This window comes from Homo sapiens, chromosome 15 (genome assembly GCF_000001405.40).
Source record: "Homo sapiens chromosome 15, GRCh38.p14 Primary Assembly".
Taxonomy (NCBI): Eukaryota; Metazoa; Chordata; class Mammalia; order Primates; family Hominidae; genus Homo; species Homo sapiens.
In genome coordinates, this window is record NC_000015.10 from 92,472,932 (window position 1) to 92,488,005 (window position 15,074).

At 42.7% G+C, this 15,074-nt stretch overlaps 1 long non-coding RNA gene across 2 annotated transcripts in view; it reads left to right on the forward strand.

Moving 5' to 3' along the window:
• The window catches only part of C15orf32 (chromosome 15 putative open reading frame 32), a 29,441-nt gene that overhangs the window by 1,255 nt on the left and 13,112 nt on the right, over window positions 1-15,074 (forward strand). The window contains exon 2 of one of the 2 annotated variants that reach the window (NR_161371.1): window positions 22-179. This is a non-coding gene — a long non-coding RNA (chromosome 15 putative open reading frame 32). The remainder of the gene's footprint in view (window positions 1-21; window positions 180-15,074) is intronic. The other variant, NR_161370.1, reaches the window with a different exon arrangement.

The following is a 15,074-nucleotide window of genomic DNA, read 5'->3' on the forward strand; positions in this document are numbered from 1 at the left end:
TTCCTCTCTTGTTTTCCACAGACACATCCTCGACCCAAAGCAGATATTCTGTGTAGCTGATGTGTGTACAGATTGCAAATTCAATTGCGGAAGCATAGAGAGGCACCAGAAGAGGCATCTTATGAGAGTCAGCCAGGACTGGTAATGAGCAAACCATCACCTTGAATAGCCTCTGAGAGGTACACAGTGAAGGGCCAGAGGATGACAGAAACAGAAAGAGGGTCTGAGGACCAGAAAAGAACAGGAAATGTTCACTGAGCACTAACTAGACGCTTTACATGGGCTAGATCATTTAATTCTCATAGCTACCCATTTGAGGTTGACATTATTATTATTCTCACTCTGCAGAGGAGGAAACTGAACCAAGAGGTTGATAAACTTCCCCAAGGCCAAAAAACTGGGAAATGGTTGAGCAGGAATTTAAACTGAAGCCCTCAGGTTCCAGAGTGGTGCAGGAAGCCTCTAAGCTTGACCTTGATCTGCAGCCACTGAAGCTGATGAAGGTCATAAAATGGGGATAAATAACACCAGCTTCAGAGGGGGTGATGGAGGAAGGAGCAGTCTAGTCAAAGTGCTCAGTGCAGTGGCTGACACACGGCAGACACTCAGCTAATGGAAGGTAGCTAGCTACTCGACTCAGGGTGTTGCAGAAAGACAAAGCCATGCCAACATTAAATGAGGTGCTGACATTAATTTAGGGGTGTGGTCTGTTCTATCACTATGATCCTAACTGCAGCTTTCAGGTACAGGGAGACAGAGAAATGTACCTATTTTGCTCAGGCCTAGAAACTGAGGCCTGAGATCAAGCCAAACCCACAGCATTAGACTTCGTAGGTGAGTGATCCAGCCAGTTCCCACAGTTGCTGTCCCCACACCTGGCTCAGCCGCCAGCGCCTCTCCGACCCCAGCTGTCACCCGGGTCCACCCAGTGGAAATGCTCCTAGTGCAGAACCAGCGACAGGCTCAGGCTACATAGCCCTGGGCCCATGGCTGCTGCGGCTGCCTTTCGAATTTGCCAGGGAAGCTGAGCATCCTTCTTTGCACATACCGGGCCACTTGGCTCAGTGTCTGAGGATGAGATGGGAGGCAGCCAGGCTGCTGGGAAAATGTGGAATCACTCTCTGGCAGAGGCCAGCCTGGAAGCGAGAAGTGAAATCAACAAAGCAGAGGACAGAGCAAACGAATGAAGAGCTGGAGAGCGAAATGGGCTGCTAAAGTGCAGGGCATTGTCCTTGAATGCTACAAGACGCTACCAGCTCACCTAATCGGCTCCCTTGCTCCAACAGCTTGCCTTGAAATTAAGTGTTTGCATCAGGCTGGGTTACTGCAGGGAAGGGGTATCAGGCCCTCCTTTGCAGCATCAGGGAAAATAGGGGACCTCAGATGGCCCAGGCCCTACCCCTGCCTCCTCAGCTTCCTGACTGAGCAGAGTGGATCCAGCCACTCAATGATCAGTAAAGTGGAAATTAAAAGCTTGCCGGGCTGGGTTGCTCTTGTGATTAAACTAGATATACAGCCTTAAGTTCTTCACCCACTCAGAGCATTAGATGCTTGGCAACTCATTGCTTCTCCTCTGGGGCTGCTTTCTCAGGCCAAGGGGGCAAGGACTAGTTGGTGGCAAGTTCTACTCAGTTTGTACCTAGCTCAGCCTACCTTCTTCACTGTTGAAGCAAGCAGGCATGGCCTGGCATGCAGTAGGTGCCCAATAATGAATGAATCCCTGTTGAATGAATGGATGAATGCTTTCCAGTTTACTGAAATCTTTCATCTTTGGCTACTCAACAAGTAGGCTCCCCAGACCTCAGTTTCTAGGCCTGAACAACTGAGGGAACAGAAATCTCTGTCTCCCTCTACCTGAGAGCCACAGTTAGGAGCACAGGGATAGAACAGACAGCACCCTCAATCTAATGTCAGCACCTCATTGAATGTTGGAATGGCTTTGTGTTCCTGCAGCACCCTAAATGAGTCAAGTAACCAGCCATCATACCTTCCACTTGTTGAGTGTCTGCTGTGTGCCAGCTATGGCATCGAGCACTTTGATTAGGCCACTCATTCCTCCACCACCCCCTGTGAGGCTGGTGTTATTTATCTCTATTTTATGGACAAGGCCCATGGCTTGTCCCATAGCTAGTAAGTGGCAGAACAGGGATCAAACTCAGGTTGAAACTTGCTTCTAGGAATCTCTGCCTCCCTAATCTGTATAGCAATTGAAGCCTATTCATTCGTTCATTCATTCCTCTCTATCTTAGTCAGTTTAGGCTACTATAACAAATATAACATTGACTTGGTGGCTTAAACAACAAACATTTATTTCTCACAGTTCTGGAGGCTGGAAAGTCCAACATCAAAGTACCAGCAGGTTCAGTTCTTGGTGAGAGCTTGTTTCTTGGCTTGCAGATGGCCGTCTTCTTGCCATATTCTCCCATGGCAGAAAGCAGAGAGACAGAGGCAAGCTCTGGTGTCTCATGTCTCTTCTTATAAGGTCACCAATCTCATTCAAGAACGTCCCACCCTCATGACATAATTATCTCCCCACCTCCTAATACCTCCTAATACTATCACCTGGGGGCTAGGATTTCAACCTATGAATTTCGAGGGGATTTCTTCACCCATTCATTTAAGAAACATCAGGGAGTGTCCACTAGACGTCCTGGCATATGAACACCCTGTGTTTGCTCCTATGGGGACTTGCCATGCAGTGGTAGGAGGGGGAGAGAGAGCAGACACAGGAGAGCACTGTAAGAGCTGTTGTAGAACAATGAGCATACTGCTGTGTAGAGAGAGGGAGCACAGAGGGAAAGGAGCCCGGAACTCTACTTGCAGGAGGTTACACCAGAGAGGGCACTTCAGGGGAAGCTTCACAGAGGAGAGGGTAGCCTTTGAATACTTGCTGCTGTTTCCCCAACTCACCCATTTCAATGCCTTCCTCCTTAACTTATCCATTCTCTCTAGGACCATCTTTACTGCCGAATGGAAGCAGAACTTTGAAATAAGCCTTAGGAACGTAGTTCATGTGCCCATGAAGGGAGCTCTCCTTTCCTCTACAGACACAGGCTGCAGGGGAAGAGTGAAGGCTGGGACACTCTGACCCTCATACCCCCACATCCAAAGCTTCGCACCCTTCTAGCTGCAGGGCTGTGAGGTTTAGTACACATGCATAGTACACAACCTACACTGATGCGCCACCCAATAGATCTCAACAAGAATAGGTCAAGAAGAGGTCTCCATGTGTGTGCCAAAGAGTATGTGCTTCCATTCATTCATCCAGCTTCACAGACACCACTGAGAGCCAGCAATGAACTACGCCTGCTGTGGACGTTGTAGGACACACAGTCCCTGCCTCAGGAAGCTCAAGTCTAAGGGGGGAACAATTATGCACAGCCAATGGCAGAATGAAATAAAGAGGAAATGCCAATCCAACCAACTGAGGGGGTTCAGAGGATTCACAGAGAAGGTGATAGATAAGCTGGACCTTGAAGAATGAGTGGGATTTTGATAGTGGGATGTTGACTCTCTGGTCTACCCTTCTGGGAAACCTCCACCCTCTTCAGTGGCAGCAAGGAACAGAAGAAGCATTCAAGACGCTAGCTATCACACTGCTGCCAACCCTGGCCAATTTACAAAAGCCACCAGGGGAATAAGCCCTGCCACCATTGCCCAGCCTCCCTACTAGGTCGTGATGATGCCCCAGGTGAGGCCAGCTCGATTCACGAGGCCCTTGATTTGTGGATAATGGTCTCAGCGATGCCAGAGGAGGGAGAGGCAGGTGCCCACACAGTCAACATTGAGACCTGCAGCCTCACCTTGTTTTTGTCCAACCCAAGTCCACCCCTTCATGCCTTCATTCTCTTTCCTCTGCACCCTCCCCCAAGGTATAATGAGACCTCAATGCTCCACTTCTAATCATAGTTTTCATGGTTTGTTTATGGATCTTCTGATTGTAATACCAGTCACCAGGCCAGCCATTGAGGGAATGCTATAGTTTCCTAGGCTTACTGTCAATTGCAGAAGCAATTGAGATGCAGATCAGTTTTCTCCTGGTGTTTCTGGGGGAGGATGGATGTTTCCAACTACCCTCCTGTGGGAGTCAAAGTGGAAAGAAATGGGGAGCTGAGGATGAAAGTGGTGGCTGCTCCACAGATCACTGAGCTGGGCAAGTGGGGCCCAGTACTGTCTCTAACCACAGCCACCAGCATGGGGTGGGGGCTGCCTGGCATGTTCTCAGCTGCACCCTCTGTTCGACTTTCAACGTCCACCTGTGCTTTGGGTCACCCCACACGTGGCCTTGCTAAGTGGCTCTCCCCTCTTCATCACATCACTTTCTCCTAGTCCTTATAGAATGAGACCCACTCTCTTGATTTACTTAACACTTTTAATTCTACCAACATAACAGAACTATGCCCACACACATATAAAAATAACACTATTCCTTTACAAGCCGCCTAAATCATTTCTAAACAAATACATGTTCATTACTTGTCCTAATATACACGCTTCCTCCAAAATAATAGCTTTTCTCATCAAATCTACCCAACAGTAGATTTGGGTAAAACTAAATTTGCCTACAGAAAAAGTAGGCATTAGAGGGAGCTGGATGCCCTTAAGTCATGACTGGCAGGCTGGCATGGGAATCCAAGGTCACTAATAAAAGGCACACAAAAGTCAGAGCCCAACCCAGCAACCACAAGCTCCTCTGACTACGTCCAAGATGGCCCTCTCATCTTCCCGGGCGCGAAGTCTGCTCCCTCTCATTTCCTCAGCCATGGGCTTCACTGTGCCCAGGCTTCAGGTATAGCGGCTTCATTTGCCTGTCCATCTTGGGCTCACCCTGCCATAACCTCCCCTAGCTCAAGTCTGCTTGTGATTCTTCTCTCTGACCCCACACACCGAGTAGACCCCAGAGTGGCTGACCCCTGACTCTTCCTGGGGAGCCTCCAAAGAAATCATTCCTGGGGCAGTCCAGATGGGTAAAGACAGGAATTTCCTGGGCCCCAACCCCCAGGCACTCCATTCCAGCTGGTGTTAGTGCCGAAGGAAGTGCATTCAAGACTCCAAGGAAAATAAAATCTCAGATATGAGGAACCATCTTGATAGTATGTAACACTGAAATTGCTTCTCTCAACCCCAATCTGAGTAGCCATCAACTGATAATGGAAGAGACACATCCCTGTTACTTGATGAAGTCTCTCTTCATATTTGCTCCCTTATCTTGATTGATTTTGTGTAGAAAATAAGATAAAGACTCAGAGTTTAAAATAAGGCTTTGTCCTTTACCTAAAACCTGCATGGAAGAAGGAGGCGAAGGGAACATTCGCAAGCAGGAGCTGATTGACAATCACATTGCTGAATGTATCAAAATTATGGGCTTTCTATTATGCCAGGGTACAGCCTAAGACCCTCTCTGAGAAGTGCCTTGTGGTCTGGACAGGAGGAGGGGCTTCATGCTTCTCTGCAGATAAGGGGAAGACAAATTGTATAATTTAGCAAACTCCAAAAAGGCTAGTTGAATGGGATTTGGATAACATTCATTTAAAAGGGGTCAGGATGTTTGTCCAGCAAAACATTAAAAAGCTATCGTTTTGTTGAGATTATAGATTTCTTCCTCTCCCCGCAGGTCATATGGGTGCACATCTATTATGGAGTAAATCTCTTTATTTCAATCATCTCTTCTCCGGCTACAGTCTCATGTGCATCAGCACTAGGAAGATGATTTTTCCATTTGGGTTACATTTTTCTTTGTTAAATTTATTCTTCTTGAGATCATTCCACTGTTAAGAATCCCTTGTCCAGCAGCAGGGAAAGATAAATATTTCTTTAATTATCTTATTTATAAATAAGATTATAAATAAGATAAAGATAATATAGATAATATCTACAGATATTTTGAAATCTCACTTCTTACTGCGATGCCTATGATTTCCCATCCTCTCTTCCTCGAGCTCTACTGGCTAAACCTGAGCCAAGTCTTCCCAATTCTTAGAGCAACCTCAGTTGTTCCAATTAGAGTCCCCGGAGTCTATCCTTCAGATATTCAAATGTTTCTCTTTCTTACTAAGAAAATATAAGACTACTCATTCTCACCTTCTTTTTGCATTTTTTTGCACTTTATTCTGCAGATATGTTAGTAAGATTCGGTCAGGAAAACAGAAACTTCTCCAAGCATTTCAAATAAAGAAGGATTTAATGCAGATAATTTGAGGCTTACCACACTGTTGGATGAACTAAGAGAATGAAAGTCAGAAAAAACTACCACTAATTTCAGGAAATTAGAACATACAGGAACCTCAGGAAGCTGCCACCAGAACCTGTGTCTCTCACCACCCAAAAGAGGGTAAACTGTAGCAGGAGGTCCCGTAAGCCACTGGCGAAACCTCCGGCAGGTCTACTGTTTCCTGACTCCCAGGTGATTCTGTCTTGTTGCAGGAATAAGAATGACCTCTGTTGTTCTTCTGCTTTTCAAATCATGCATGGGTGCCTCCCATTGGTGGAGTCCCAGTCAGAGTCTTGCTGGTATGGGATGCCAGGAAATGCAACAGTTCCCAGAATTCCAACCACACAAATATGGCAAAGAGCTTTGAAGGGAGTGGCAATGAATGTTAGTTTCCTAAATCCAGTACATCGGAGGTCCACAATTCTCTAAGAACTATGTTAACAGCCATATATATATATAATTTGCTTTTTTAAAAAAATTATACTTTAAGTTCTGGGATACATGTACAGAACGTGCAGGTTTGTTGCATAGGTAGACACGTGCCATGGTGGTTTGCTGCACGCATCAACCCATCATCTACATTAGGTATTTCTCCTAATGCTATCTCTCCCCTAGCCCCCCACCCCCTTACAGGCCCTGGTGTGTGATGTTCCCCTCTCTGTGTCCATGTGTTCTCATTGTTCAACTCCCACTTATGAGTGAGAACATGTGTGCTTGGTTTTCTGTTCATGTGTTAGTTTGCTGAGAATGTTGGTTTCCAGCTTCATCCATGTCCCTGAAAAGGACGTAGACTCATCCTTTTTTATGGCTGCATAGTATTCCATGGTGTATATGTGCCACATTTTCTTTATCCAGTCTATCATTGATGGGCGTTTGGGTTGGCTCCAAGGCTTTCCTATTGTGAACAGTGAGCAGCTTTATATATATCACCCACATTTTTCACATGAGGCAATAGAGCTCAGACTTCTTAGGTAATTTTGTCCAGGGACACACAACCAACCAGGGATCACGAGTCAGATTTCTGAGCCCATGCTCTTTCCACAACACTGCCCTGCTTCATACAATAATCTAGGAAATTTCTACAACCTATCATGTCCTTCCTGCAGTGCATCTGCAGTGCACTGCCAAGGACAAGTTTCTCCCAATCCAGGGGCCTCAGTTTAGGTGTCCTTATTTCTCAGCATTTCCATGCAGCTATGTCTCCCACTCTCTAGATGTTCTTTCCCAGATGGTCCTGATGCTGGCACTGCATGTCTCCCCCACCAACTTCAACTGAGCCCTAGTTGTCTGGTGCTGTCTGTGAGCATGACATTTTTTGCCTACTCTCAACTTGACATTGTTAATCTTCAAGCTAGAGCACAGAGGAGGAGTCCTGGCAAGCCTCTGCTCTAACTTCCCAGGTGCCTCTTCAGAAGTTCTGCAGATGGCCTTTGAAAGTCGGCTAGTCGCCAGTCCAGTCTTTCAGGAAATACTATGGGGTTTCCCAGGATTATGATCAACTGCACAGGCCACTGAGGTGCAGATCAGCTTTCTCCTTGTCTTTCTCGGGGACAATAGAAGTCTCTCGCCATTGTCTCATGGAGTAAAACTAGACAGAGAAGAGAGGCTGAGAAGAAAAGCAGTAGTAGCTTCATAGATAACCAAGCCAGGTAAACATGACCCAGTATTTTTTTACTCTGGCCTGGAAAGAGAAGGACTTTTCTTTGACACGAAGAGCAGAGTCTAAGCACCTCATGATGTCTTCAGCCAGAATCCCACCAAAGTTCTTACAATCTCCAGGAGACTTGGTTTTCCATTCCAAACAAAGGAATAATTCTTACTCACCCTGTCCATGGGAATTAAGGATGTGTGATGAAGTCCTAAGTCAGAGCTCACTCCCAACTACAGGAAGAGATGAATGACAGGAAGAAATGCAGCACTCTAAACAGTAAGGTGCTCCACAATTTGCCTCTCTGTTAAAAAGAAATGTGAGGGTTTGGAGGGGGGTACGAACAGGAGTATCCACCCAGGGTCTGCCACCACTATTTGGAGGTCATGGAAGAGGACAACAGAGAAGGCCATTCTACAAAGTGATGACTTTTCAAAAGTGTTTAGTAAGTTGGCATGACAGTCATTAAGACTCATGAAAGATGAAGCCAGGTGATCACTTCTTGGCCTTTTGGCTAAGATCAAGTGTGAAAGATGAAGCCAGATGAAATCAAACATAATGACACATAACGACATGGTAGTGTTTTATCAGTGCTTATAACCTCACACCCAACAGCATAGATGCCAACAGAGCTCATCTCTGGGTTCACTCCTCCATAGGACTCTCTAGCCATGCTTCTGGCTGTACCGGGTCTTGACTTTGAACTCAGCCTATTTTAAAATAGCATGCACAATGTGAGGGTCTAGAAGCTGGGGCACAAAGAGGTGCCCTGCCTGCTTTTGACTCAGGCATTGCCCTTACCAGTTCTGAGAGAGAATTTTGAGAACAACATGATTTCTATTCTGGAATTGCTATGAGGTTTCCCAGGGAAACACTCAGTCATAGGCTAGACTCAAAAATGGATGTTCTAAAGGCAGGAAACATTTAGATAGCAAGGAGAACTGTTCTGGATTTATAATTCTGGCCCTTGATTCCTATGCATGACACTAGGCATTGCCACCAGGGCTTAACTCAAAAGGCCTTGGCTCTATACCAGAGGATTAAATAATGTCAAATGTTCTCACATATGTGTTTATAGGGGGTAGGTCCAAGATGCCTAACATACATCCAGAGTAGACTTAACATCAGTGTACGTTAACTGAGTCCCAATAATCTTCTCAACATTATACCAGGGTTCAGAAGCCAAATCCCAAGCGCAAAGCATTGTGTTTGTCCTCCCTTTGGAAAGTAAAACAATAACACACTTCTACTGGGGACGCAATGAAGCCCGTGAGAGCCTATCCCAGGCTACAATCTCCACATACTGTCCCTGTGTCCCAATACACTCCCCTGACCTCTCCATTTATTCTGCCGTATTCTCCATGCAAAATATTAGCTACATTGCAATGTGTTTCTGGAATGGGGTCTCTTATGACTCTTTATAAGGAGGACAAACTTGGCTTTCATCAAGCTTTAAATAAATCACAGCATCTAAATTGGAAAGGAAGAAGTCAAATTATCCTTGTTCATAGATGACATAGCATCATATTTAGAAAAATTTAAAGACTCCACCAAAAAACTGTTAGAGTGGATAAACAAGTTCAGTAAAGTGATTTTTCAAGTTACAAAATCAGCATACAAAAATAAGTAGCATTTCTATACCCCAACAGTGAACAACCTGAAAAATAAATCAAGAAAGCAATCCCATTTACAATAGCTACAAAAATAGTATAATAAAATACTTAGGAATAAATTTAACAAAGGTAGTAAAAGATCTCTATAATGAAAAGTATAACACATGATTTAAAAAAAGGTGGAAGAGGGCACTCACAAGAATTGAAAGATATTCCATGCTCATGGATTGCAAGAATTAATATTGTTAAAAAGTTCATACTTCTAAAGTGATCTACAGATTCAGTATAGTCTCTACTAAGATGCCAATGACATTCTTTACAGAAATAGAAAAAACAATCCTAATATTCATATGGAACCACAAAAGACCTGAATAGCCAAAGCATCCTGAGCAAAAAGAACAAAGCTGGAAACACTACTTGACTTTAAAATTTACCACAAACTACAGTAACCAAAACAGCATGGTACTAACATAAAAACAAGCATATAGACCAATGGAGTAAAATAGAGAATTCAGAAATAAATCCACACATTTACAGCCAATCCATTTTTTACAAAGGTGCCAAGACTATACACTAGGGAAAAAGACAGTCTCTTCAATAAATGGTGCTGAGAAAACTGGATATCCATATGCAAAAGAATGAAACTAGATCCCTATTTCTCACCATATACAAAAATCAAATCAAAATGGATTAAAAACTTAAATATAAGACCTGAAAGTATGAAACTACTAGAAGAAAAGATTGGGGAAACACTTCAGGACATTGGCCAGGAAAAAATATTTTTGTGTGGATAAGACCTTGAAAGCACAGGCAACCAAAACAAATGGGATTATATCAAGCTAAGAAGTTTCTGGCCTGGTGCGGTGGCTCACATCTGAAATTTCAGCACTTTGGAAGGCTGAGGCGAGAGGATTACCTGAGCCCAGGAGTTCAAGACCAGCCCAGGCTACATAGTGAGACTCCCATCTCTACCAAAAAACAGAAAAAATTAGCTGGGTATGGTGGCATATGCTTGTAGTCCTAGTTACTTGGGAGGCTGAGGTGAGAGAAGAGCTTGAGCCGGGGAAGTCAAGGCTGCTGCAGTGAGCCATGATCGTGCCACTGTACTCCAGCCTGGGCAACAGAGCAAAGCTCTGTCTCAAAAAATAAAAATAAAATTAAAAAGTAAATAAATTTTTAAAAAGCTTCTGCACAGCAAAGGAAACAATAAACAGGGTGAAGAGATAGCCTGCAGAATGGGAGAAAATATTTGCAAACTATCCATCCAACAAGAATATATAAAGAATTTATATATACCAGAATATATGAGGAATGCACACAACTCAATAGTTAATAATAATTCTATTAAAACGTGGTATATGTACACAGTGGAATGTTAGCTGAATACAGATTTTTCAAAATAAGACATCCATGTGGCTGACGAGCATATGAAAAAATGTTTAGCCAGGCATGGTGGTGCACACCTATAGTCCTAGCCACTTGGGAGGCTGAGGCAGGAAGATCACTTGAGCCCAGGAGTTCAAGGTTACAAGTGAGCTGTAACTGCACCACTACACTCCAGCCTGGGCAACAGAGTGAGAACCTCTCTCAAAAAGAAAAAGAAGAAAGAAAAATGCTCAATATCACTAAATAAGGGAAATGCAAATCAAAACCATAATGAGATATTGTCTCACCCCAATTAACACAGCTATTATCAAAAATACAAAAAAATAACAAAAGCTGGTGAGGATGCAGAGAAAGGGGAATGCTAGTACACTGTTGGTGGGAATGTAAATTAGTACATCCATTATGGAAAACGGTATGGAGGTTCCTCAAAAAACCAAAAATAGACCTACCATATGATCCAGCAATCCCACTGCTGGGTACATATCAAAAAGAAAGGAAATTAGTATGTCAAAGAGATAGCTGCACACCCATGTTTATTGCAGCACTATTCACAATAGCTAAGATATGGCATCAACCTAAGTGTCTATCAACATATGAATGGATAAAGAAAATGTGGTATGTATACACAATGAAATGTCATTCAGCTATAAAAAAGAATGAAATCTTGTCATTTGCAGCAACATGGATGGAACTGAAGGTCATGTGTTAAAGTAAAATAAGCCAGGCACAGAAAGATAAATATCACATGTTCTTACTCATATGTGGGAACTAAAAAAGTGGAGGTAGAGTGTAAAATGATGGTTACCTGAGGCTGGGAAGGGTGGAGAGGAGGGAGGAATGAAGAGAGGTTGATTAAAGGGTATGAAAATGCAGTTAGATAGAAGAAACCAGTTCTAGTGTTCAATAGCACAGTAGGGTGACTACAGTTAATAATAATTTATTATATATTTCAAAACAGCTAGGAGAGAAGATTTGGAATGTTCCCAACACAAAGAAATAATAAATGTTTGAGGTGATAGACATCCTAATTACTTGATTTGATCATTACGCATTACATGTATATAGCAAAATATCACATGTACCCTATAAATATGTACAATTATGTCTTGATTCAAAAAAATACACATACACACACACACACACACACACACACACACACATATGAAACAAGGCAGGTTCTACCACTGTTCTTGGATTGGCTAAATCATAGTAACTATACAGATATTAAACATCTAAAAAAATAATTTTTTTTAAAATTAAAGAAACTCTTAAACATTAAGCAACATGATGACTTTTCTGAGTTGAAAAAGTCCATGATAAGGCCACGGTAGACTATTCTTTCACATTCTAAGGCTTATGGTACCAGAGTAACAGTACAACAGTTTTAGGTGTTGAGGGGATATTTGATGGATAAATTTTTGTTCTGGATGGTGAGAAAGAAAACTACCTTTCTACTTTCAACACTCCTCTTCGAGGAAGCTTCCTCCAACTGACCATGATCTGTCATCTACAAAAATGCTTCAAAGCTAAGAAATATGCTTATCACCCTCCCTAATGAGGAGGAATAGAGGGTGAATTAAAAAATGCTTTTTATTTTTGCTTCATGAATAGCAGTGGTACAGAACTGTTCCAAGTTCCAAGTAAAAACAATTTAAAATGATAAGATATATGTAGGATTCCAGTCATAGTCATCCAACAAAAAAGCCCATTTCCTAAGAATTGTGGGAATAGGACTGTATAAAGATGGGGATGGAAAGCATCCATTTAACTCTACTTCCTCCAGAACCCCCATTAAAATGATAAAAAGGAATACAAATCCACTGGCACATAAATAATTGGAGAGAAAACAAGAAGAGACATTTGGAAGAAAAAAAGCAGATGGATGAGTGGGAATTGACTTGGCTACGCTGTAAGCTGGCTTCAGGAAAGGAGGCACCAGGTGCCCATGAATGTGAGGATGAAGATGAGACTGAAAACAGAAAAACTGATTAAAAGACTTTAAAGGAGCAATTAGGCCTTCAGGTTGCCTCTCCCCTCTGGGAAACTGGAAGGTGGCTTCTCAAACACCCAACACTGGAAAGGCTGGAGCCAAAAAACTGTGAACACCAGGGACAGGTATAGAACAAGGGCACCAACTAAAAACAGGGGCTGAATGACTATGTCCGTACTGAATGCTGATAGAGCCCCCACCTCCAACCCAGATTCTATCCTTCTTTCCCATCTCAGCTTCCAGAACATTGGTTTCCAGGACTCACCTTCTTGGTAGGCAATTAGAAAAGATTTTTTTTAAGGCTTCTGAGCAGTTCAAGAGGAAAAACCATTAAGATACTGATACCAGAAGCCAGCCAGATCACTGTATACTGAAGCTCATAGAAAAAAAAGAAAGAAAGAAAAAAAAAAAAAAAAAAAGCTTGTGTCAAAGGCAGCAGTGGTTAATAAGCATTCCATTTGCAACTCCACATTTTCCAACCCACTTCCAGTTAGGTGGAGTTAGGTGGAGCCTAACTGTGACTTGATATGACCAATTGACTATAGGCAGAAGTGGCATGGACTGAAACATATAAGAACCAGTATACAATTGTCTGGCTGTCCCTGCTGAGGTACCCAAAGAGACTGCATGGTCCGGATGAAGCAACTATAAAATGATGGAATCTCCATGAACCTGGTCCCCTGAGTGTGGAGTAGAGTTCTATAGAAAACATCACTAGATATGCTGTGTGAGAATCTAAACTTTCTTTTTCTAAACCACTGAGAACTGTTTGTTGTTTATTTCAAAACATAAGTCTAGTCTCTCCTAGCTAACACAAAACCACACACACAGAATTTTTAATCACCATTTTGGTGCATAATGTTAAATGAGTACTCAAGGATCACCAGAGTTCTGAGAAAAGTCTCTAATATAAAAAATAGAGGCTAGAGCATGAAGGGTTGTTGAATTTTGTCAAAGGCCTTTTCTGCATCTATTGAGATAATCATATGGTTTTTGTCATTGGTTCTGTTTATATGCTGGATTACGTTTATTGGTTTGCGTATGTTGAACCAGCCTTGCATCCCAGGGATGAAGCCCACTTGATCATGGTGGATAAGCTTCTTGATGTGCTGCTGGATTCGGTTTGCCAGTATTTTATTGAGGATTTTTGCATCGATGTTCATCAGGGATATTGGTCTAAAATTAAAAACTCTCAATAAATTAGGTATTGATGGGACGTATCTCAAAATAATAAGAGCTATCTATGACAAACCCACAGCCAATATCATACTGAATGGGTAAAAACTGGAAGCATTCCCTTTGAAAACTGGCACAAGACAGGGATGCCCTCTCTCACTACTCCTATTCAACACAGTGTTGGAAGTTCTGGCCAGGGCAGTCAGGCAGGAGAAGGAAATAAAGGGTATTCAATTAGGAAAAGAGGAAGTCAAATTGTCCCCGTTTGCAGATGACATGATTGTATATCTAGAAAACCCCATCGTCTCAGCCCAAAATCTCCTTAAGCTGATAAGCAACTCCAGCAAAGTCTCAGGATACAAAATCAATGTGCAAAAATCGCAAGCATTCTTATACACCAATAACAGACAGAGACCCAAATCATGAATGAACTCCCATTCACAATTGCTTCAAAGATAATAAAATACCTAGGATTCCAGCTTAGGAGGGACGTGAAGGACCTCTTCAAGGAGAACTACAAACCACTGCTCAGTGAAATAAAAGAGGATACAAACAAATGGAAGAACATTCCATGCTCATGGGTAGGAAGAACCAATATCATGAAAATGGCCATACTGCCCAAGGTAATTTATAGATTCAATGCCATCCCCATCAAGCTACCAATGACTTTCTTCACAGAATTGGAAAAAACTACTTTAAAGTTCAGATGGAACCAAAAAGAGCCCGCATTGCCAAGTCAATCCTAAGCCAAAAGAACAAAGCTGGAGGCATCACACTACCTGACTTCAAACTATACTACAAGGCTACAGTAACCAAAACAGCATGGTACTGGTACCAAAACAGAGATATAGACCAATGGAACAGAACAGAGCCCTCAGAAATAATGCCGCATATCTACAACCATCTGATCTTTGACAAACCTGACAAAAACAAGAAATGGGGAAATGATTCCCTATTTAATAAATGGTGCTGGGAAAACTGGCTAGCCATATGTTGAAAGCTGAAACTGGATCCCTTCCTCACACCTTATACAAAAATTAATTCAAGATG